We start from the raw sequence: 8,137 nt of genomic DNA on the forward strand, positions 1-8,137 counted from the left end.
GTGTGTGTGTGTGTGTGTGTGTGTGTGTGTGTGTGTGTGTTTGTGTGTGTGTGTGTTTGCGAGAGAGAGAGAGAGAGAGAGAGAGAGAGAGAGAGAGAGAGAGAGAGAGAGATCCTGAATAATGCACGAGGTATTTGGACTTTGAAGGCAACATACCTTTGAAGATTTCTGGGTAGGGATGTGACATGATGAAAATGATGTCCAGGGTGGACTGGTTGCTCAGGATGGCCCTAGGGATGACGGGCTGCCTGTAATAGGACCACGAGGGAAGCAAGGAGCTTTATCTTGAGGCTGTATTGCCACATGAGCATTGGTTTTCGATTGCTTAGATTGCATGTATTTGGAGTGGCTCAGCGGGAGCTGGTGGGATCAGCATTAGGTGTCTTTACTGCTTTTTTTAAAAAGAGGGCAGATGAACCCATTTTGTCTTTCTGCCTCCTGGTTCTCTATGAAGCTATGCTTACGCCTAGATTTCTTACTTTGCATATAAACATGTCATATCTGTATCCTATTTCTGGGACAGAGCCACGGCGTGTGAAAGCCAGGTATCTCAATCTCTGGTTCAGGATCTACGATGTCATGTTGTTATCCCTTAAAGTGATTATTCTCTAATTATTTATTGAAATTGTCTTTCCTGAATTCCTCAAATCAGAGTCCAGATCCTCCCCCAGACACGGGGTCTGGGCCACTGAATAATACAGTGGAGGGCTCAGGAAAGCAAAGGGGAAGGAAGAAGTAGAGGGGATGAAACAGAAAGAAGACGAAAGGAAGGAGAAGAGGAAAAGGGGGAAGTAGGACAGAGGGAAGGGAAGAAGGAAGAGCAGTTCAAAGATAGAATGGTGGTAAAAGGGCGCCAGTCGCTACAAAAATTGCTGCCCTAGAAGCGAGAGGAAGGCGTCCTGGTGTGTAAAAGCAGCCTCTCACTTTCACCACGTGGGGGCAGACTCTACTTACAAGAAAAAGCAACAATTTGCAATGGCTTCAGGGTCAAAGGGATCCTCTTGGCACACGGAGGATTCGGTATTGAGCTGATCACTCACTCCCTGAGGTTCTTCTAGTCCCTCAACAGCTGGAGCCCCATCTCTGGGCACAATGTCAGTGTGGATTAAAGAAAAAAAGAAGGCCAACTTTGCTCAAACTTAGATTTTCACATCATGTGGAGTACAGAATTACAGTTGAACAGATACCACGTAGAACAAAACATTTTGCCGTTTCACCTTATTATTTAAAATATAGAATTGCCCAGGCTTTTATGCAGTCTCTCATTTCTTTATGTCTTTTCCTTTACTGAAGAGTTATTGCATATACATTATATGTGCATCGTTCAAGGAATTTCCAAACGTTGGAAAGCATTCTTCTTAATTTCTTCCAGCTCCTTCTCAGTCTTTGCTTGTTATATTTTTAGCCTAAGGTGATAAAAATGCATGGGAATGTGTACGTTAGTTTCTTAAAAAAAAAAACAACTCATAAACCCTGAGCCTTTGCGTTAAAGGGATATTTTTATTTGGAGAATGGTTGAAAACAACCAAATTACTGCAGGTAGTTCTGTGGTGCTTCAGAAGCAATCGTTGCAAGTGTCTGGTTGCCTCTGAGCACAATGCAACTAGCATAGGGCTAACAGGGCGAAGTGCCAACTGAGATATTAAAGGGGACCGATTTCCTCCAACCCCCAAGTTGTTAAATATTATTATCCCTGAAAACAGCATTTCAATGTCCATTTTGTTTTCCTTTTGGTAGATTTTTTTCTTTTTTGAACAATATAGAACAAGTTAACTCCAGCAAGTATGTATGTTTTCTAAAATAGATTTTCTAAGTAGCCAATTAAAAACAGAATCTCTTGAAAATAAAAATATTCTCTTTGGAATGGTGATTGGGCCTCTGAGATAAAGAATCTCATTTGCAAGTTTAAAAGGAATAAGAACTTTCTATTATCTACAGACTGAGTAAGTGCTGAGAAAAAGGCAATTTTGCTATTCCCTATTCCCCCCCCCCAAAAATTAAAAAATAGAAGGATAGCAAATTGACTGGACAATTGTGGGAAGTTTGGTTCCATCAGTCTCATGATTTTCAGTGTGTCCAGGTTAACAATAAAATTTAGTTTATGTGAGTATATGAGGTAGTGGTTTCATTCCAATTGTCTGTTTAATCTGGTGGCACAAGAAGTAGCAAAGCTACTGTTTTGTAGCAAGGTCTTGGGGCCTACGGTTTCCTCATTCCTAAGTTTAAGGAGAAGAGCATTACCTCCACTTAAGATTTACATAACTTTTTATGAAATACCTTCACGCTAATTTAGTCCACGGCCCCTTTAACACATATAATCCATTACAGTGCTGCAGAGATGATTACTTCCGGATGTGGTTTCTGTTCTCTCCCTCTGTTTCACAAGCTGTGTGCCGATGTTATGAAGCTCTTGCAAGGAAAAAAAGAGAAAAACTTCTAAAATGATTTCTTCTTCTTAAAAAACAGGAGAAGTGACTGCAAAGAATGATTTACTATCAGTCTCTGCTTTGCAGCAGTGGAAAATTGGGAGAGGATCAAACATCCTCTCCAATTTGGCTACTACCTTCTAGGTTTAATAGTGTTTTAAAATGAAATCTCTGACCGTCTTTGTAAGAGCTATTAATTTGTACCTTGCAGAAATGCGATTCAAACGTTTCTGGAATCGAAACCTTGGAGGAGGTTTTATAGTAAAGAAATATTAGAGACATCTGAGATTTTCTCTGAAAGTTGATGTGATCTCTTATCTGAAAATCAAAGGCTTTGACCCAAACTTTGAGATCCCCTCTCTCATTTAATTGGTGTTAGCAGGGAAGGTCTGATAAATACCGAAGGGGCTGACAAAACTCTGTTTTGCAACTAGTGTAGGGCCAAGACTTTCTCTCTCTTATTTGACTCTATCCCTTGAGAGCCTCATTTGTTTTTAGTACCTAATTTTATTGTTCATTCTTACTAACCTTCCAATCTCAATGCACTTTAAGAAAAAAGTAAACCAAAAGTAATTACTTGGAGAACACAAAGCCGTATCTATATATGAGATCAAACATTTCCAACCTTCCCTTGCTATTTACTTCTAAATAACTACTCTTCTTTCTAGTGCTTTCTGCTTGTTTTTGTGACAAACTAACAGCAGGGAATGTCTTCAGGCTAATTATACAGGACCATTATGTGATTCTGCAGGAGGAGGACTAAGGAGAGCTCTATTTCCAGCTTTAGTTTCAGGGGGAAATGAAATCCTAAGGGAAATCAGGCCTAGGCTGACTTCTCAGATCACAAGTAATTCTGGTCTAGGAGTCCCTTGCCCTCCACTAAACAAGAAGGCCCCGGATATTCAGAGGATGACTTCTAGTATCCTTTGGATAAGTGGCTTCAAGTGGTCTTAAAAGTTGCTATACAGCCAATGCCTTCCCCTCCTCTCATTCAGAGGGTTCAGCATGAGTGTGAAAAGGATGAGAAACACAAAGACATAGGAAAGAATATAACAGCAGTGACTAAACATCTAGACTTATCTTTTGGGAAACAAAAATCTCAGCGTCAAATGTGGTGGTAACATAGAGAATTGTGAAAATTTCTCAGAAGATCTGGTGCTCTGCCCACACTGCAAACCCAGCCCCAAGTATCGACCAAGTCCAGCCTCCTCTCAAGAGCAACACACGTTGGCCTCTAGTGGGAGGACTCCTTTGGCTGCAAGCCACAGACCCCAAATCCAGACTTTAAAAGAAATTCCAGGGCTGCTTCTTGCTTCAGGGGTCAAATGCTCTTCTCCAGTCTCTGACTCTCTCTGTGTCTCACACTTGTATTTGTTTCTGCCTGTTCATCCTTCAGATGGGAAAGCAACATGGCTGCCAGAAGTCTGGGACTTACAATCAACCACCTTGGAGATCCAGCATCCTGGGGAGGAATGTGAGGTCAGGTCTGGGCCATGTGCCCGCCGTGGGGTCAAGGCAGGGTGAGGTTAGCTTCACTCAAGCCACAGGAATGCGCTTTCCACAGGAAAGATGGAAAGATAGGTTCTATTACCTACCATAAGAGGAAATGGTTCTGGGCACCCAAAACCAAAAAAATGTTCCGTACACAGTCCTTATCTATATATATAAAAATACCAGGATCAATACCATATTGCCATTGTTTTGTAGTGTAGGTTTTGTTTCTTAAGGAAACTGCTGTTGCCTTTCCTGCTCCCTGGGATCCACTTTGAACCTGTACCTTGACTTCTGACCACGGCCTTAGGTTCTGCCTTTGCTCTCATGTGGGACTTCCATCATAGGACACAATGTCCATCTTATCAATATTTTTCAATACCCATGGATTCCTTATGTGTGTGACCTGATACCTGTTTTGGCTTCATCATGGGCACTCCCAGGATCCAATAGCTGTCTTTTATAGTAGACCGGGCTCTAGGGGTGACTCCATGCCTAAATGGAGCACTATTCCTCATGCCTGGTCAGATCAGCCCAGTATAATTCAAACACGATGAGACAGATGCATCTAGGACATCAGATGGGTCCCTTCTTGTCTGCTCTGTCTCAGAGCTGGGGCTGACCAGGTACCGACAGGGAGATGACTCATTACACGGCAAAGAGCACGCCAACTTTGTGCGTGGACTGATCCCTAGCCAACATACTCATTTGCTACCCTGCACATAAGGGCCTGGAGAAACATGAGAGCATGAACTTCTAGATGACAGCATCATGCATATGTGGTGGGTGCACTTTTCCCTTTCATGTGCATGGAAAGTATTAGGAGGGGAAATATTCCCCTCATGACATATTTTACATCACCAGTCATGTTTTCCTGGAAACTGATTTAACTTTTAACACTTCAGAAAATATCTGCTGTAAAATACTAAATAGCCAGAGAGAAAGACTGTATTTCCCATCTTTCAACACCATCAATGTTACAAAATGCCTTTCCCCACTGACTAGTGTAGGTTGTTCCCCGCATCGTAATCTCACCACAGTTCATTCAGTCACTTGCTCCTTCATTCATTCACACGCGTTTAAGCCCTAGGCTCTTTGGAACATACTAAGTGTGCAGTGATGAGTAAGACCCTGTCCTTGCTCTCAAGAAGCTCTCAGCCTAGTCAAAGCCAGATGAACAAAAACTGAATTCCAATGCAATGGGGCAGATGCATCTAGGACATCAAACAGGTGCTCAGAGGAGACAAGGTGGTAGGGTGGGCTGTGGGGCAGGCCAGGTTTCCATGGGGAGGCAGCCACTGAGGTGAATCCTGTAGAATGATTCACGTAGGTAGAAACATAGAGGAAGTGTGTTCCAGGAAAAGAAATATTTCAGGAAGTGTATCCCAGGAAAAGAAATATTTCAGGAAGTGTATCCCAGGAAAAAGCATGTTGGATGGAACAGGGCTGAACTGTCATGTTGGGTTTGAGAAGGAGTAATGAGGCATAGTAGCACATAAGGTATAGGGCAGGGGAGAAATGGGAGCAGCAGGACATCATCCTGGGATGGTAGGCAGAGGCCAGATCATGCAAGGTTTTTAAAATTATGATAAGAGTTTATATTTTATCCAGAAGAAGGGGGGGGAATTAAAGGGTTTAAATAGGAGTCTGTTGTGATTAAATTTGGATTTTAGGAAGATCACCCTGAGATTGGTGGAAATATTGCCTGGAAGGGAGTGAGACTGAGGCAGGAAGACCAGCTGAGAGACAATGGCAGTCGTCTGGGCCTGGGACAACCAGGGATTGGACCAGGGCAGTCAAGGTGGGCTTGGAGGCCAGGGAGCAGAATTAAAATACACTGAGAGATTATACTTTCAGGGATCAATTCTATAGTTTGTTACTAGGGAAGTTTCTCTGAATGCGTACAGACCTGCAGAAGAGCAGCAGAACCCATGAGGAGAAGGCGCAGGATGATCCTGAGCATGAAGCTGGCTCATGGAGTTGCTTTGCTGCTACTGTCACTTGCCATTGATGATCGTTCTTCTCTTCCTTTGGGAGAGGAAGAGGGGGAGAAAGCAGTTGGAGTGGTTCCAGTTAAAAAAAGAAGGAAAAAGGAAAAATAAATAAAATACGTTGAAAGTTATCAGAAAATGGCAAAGATTTAGAGTAAATGCTTGGCTTTAGTTTTGGGAGGTGCAGAATACAGAAAAGCCACTAAACCAGGCAAGGGGATATTGGCTTAGTAATCATTTTGGAGATATTACGTCAGAGATATTACTTCAAATATTATTACTTTTGAAGTTTTATATCTGTCTAGTTGGAATTGAAGGAGGGACACCCTGGTATCGAGGTCTAGTAAGTGGCTGAAATATGAATCTGGAGCTCAGAAGAGAAGCCTGAGCTAAAGACATAGATTTGGCAGTTGTTTGTCATTGAAAGTAGAGCTAACCTGTAAGGGTGCAGGAAGATATTTACGGAAGACACACAGAATGAAAAGAGAAAATGGCCAAGAACGAAGCTCTTGAGTGCATACCCACTTAAAAAAATTTTTTAAGGTAAAATATTCTTATTATAAAAGTAATACAAATGAAAACAAATATTGAGAAAAGACAAAGTTATCTATTTACTGTCCTGCCATCCTACTGCAACCACAGTTAGTAATTTGATTTCCTTTGTCATCTTTTTATCGTATGATGGGTGTGTTATTTCAATCATGATTACAGCCATTCATACGCTTTTGTATCTTGCAATTTTTATTTAATATAACATTTTCTCATGTTTTAAATAATATTGATTACTAATTTTCAAAGAGTACTTAATGTACCACTCATATATATCCTTTTATTGACTAGTTCCTGGACGAGGGGATGGCAAACTATGGGACCACATTTATAGATAGTTTTATTGGGACACAGCCATGCCCATATTGCTTACATATTTTCTGTGGCTGCTTTGTGTTACATACAGCAGTGTTGGCAACTTATGACTGAGAGAGTATGGCCTGCAAATCCTAAAATATTTATTTTCTGATCTTTTATAGAAAAAGTTTGCTGATTCCTGACCTAAATTTTTAGGTGGTTTGTAATTTGGGCTATTAAAAGTAATGCCACTGGGAACATCTTTGTGTTCTAAGATGCCTTCAAGATCTCCCTTGAGCAGTTACGGCTGAGGGAAGTAGTGAAGGGGGTAGACACCACAGTCTGCAGCCCCTCCCCTTCTAGCTCAGAACAAGGCAGATGAGCTGCAGTTCCAGCATTCCCACACACAATTGACTTCATGCCAACTTTTACTGTCCATGAGGTCCAGGTAAACTAAGAATGCTATATAAACTTGGATGTCATCTCCTGTACTTCATTCTATCATTTCTAAATACTTAGGGTTGGTGCCCATCCAGCCAACCTTGAAGGGCCCATGAGGGGGCACAGCTGCTGTGAACGCTGCCAGGGCCCAGCCTGCTGCAGCCGGGGGTCAGCTCAGAATCGCCATGTTCCTCCATGATGGCTAGTGTAGTGCTTCCAGAACACCTGCTGCTAATGAGAAGCAGGAGGAGCTGCCAGTAGACAGAGAAATCAAGGGCAGATGACAAGGGCAAAGAGTATGAGAGATCACAGAAATCTGGGGTACGTTTCAATGAGAGAGGAATGGTGAACTGCCCCATGGAGGAGAAAGGTGAGCTGAAACTGAAGATCTTCCACTGGATTTGTTAATGGAATTTTCTCTGGCACCTTTGCCTGAACAATATAGCAGAGCTGAGGGGCAGAAGCTTGATTGCAGACAACTGAAAAGTAAATGAAACGTGGGAGAGTGAATTTAAAGTATTTGTATTGCTTGTTTAATTCTCAGCTTTCTCTCCTAGATTATAAGCTCAGAGGGAGCAGAGGCGACATTGACCTTGATCAACATTAAAACCCTAATATCAAATGCTATGCCCCATCCATGGTAGGCATTTAATAAATATTTAGTGAATGAGAGGAGACACAGTGGTAGATAAGGACATTAAGTACAAGGGATACCAGGGAGGTTTTTTATTTCCTTACATAAACTTGAGAAAAAAATAGAAGAGCTTAAAAATATACACAGAGCGAGGTTTCAGAGAAAGTATAAAAGGACAGACCTAGATATTAAAGTATAAAAGGACAGCCGTAGATATTAAAGCATATATTTGGCATTTCCTCTAGCTCTTCCTAAAAATCATCCAAAGGCAAAAAATGAATGCAAAAACCAAAAATACAAACTCCACT

At 41.7% G+C, this 8,137-nt stretch overlaps 1 non-coding gene and 1 pseudogene across 1 annotated transcript, besides 1 other annotated feature; one reads left to right on the plus strand and one right to left on the minus strand.

Moving 5' to 3' along the window:
- Window positions 813-1,107: an enhancer, noted in NCBI's record as "tiled region #9537; K562 Activating DNase unmatched - State 12:CtcfO, and HepG2 Activating non-DNase unmatched - State 12:CtcfO". NCBI's record gives its function as "activates a minimal TATA promoter and a strong SV40 promoter by Sharpr-MPRA in K562 cells, with weak activation in HepG2 cells {active_cell/tissue: HepG2 | K562}" and the evidence as "EXISTENCE:reporter gene assay evidence [ECO:0000049][PMID:27701403]".
- On the plus strand, window positions 5,759-5,985 carry LOC124901858 (small nucleolar RNA U3). The gene has a single exon (XR_007060685.1). It is a non-coding gene; the product is annotated as a small nucleolar RNA U3 (small nucleolar RNA).
- On the minus strand, window positions 6,443-7,393 carry TSEN15P3 (tRNA splicing endonuclease subunit 15 pseudogene 3; annotated as a pseudogene).

Source organism: Homo sapiens, chromosome 7, assembly GCF_000001405.40.
Source record: "Homo sapiens chromosome 7, GRCh38.p14 Primary Assembly".
In the NCBI taxonomy this organism is placed as follows: Eukaryota; Metazoa; Chordata; class Mammalia; order Primates; family Hominidae; genus Homo; species Homo sapiens.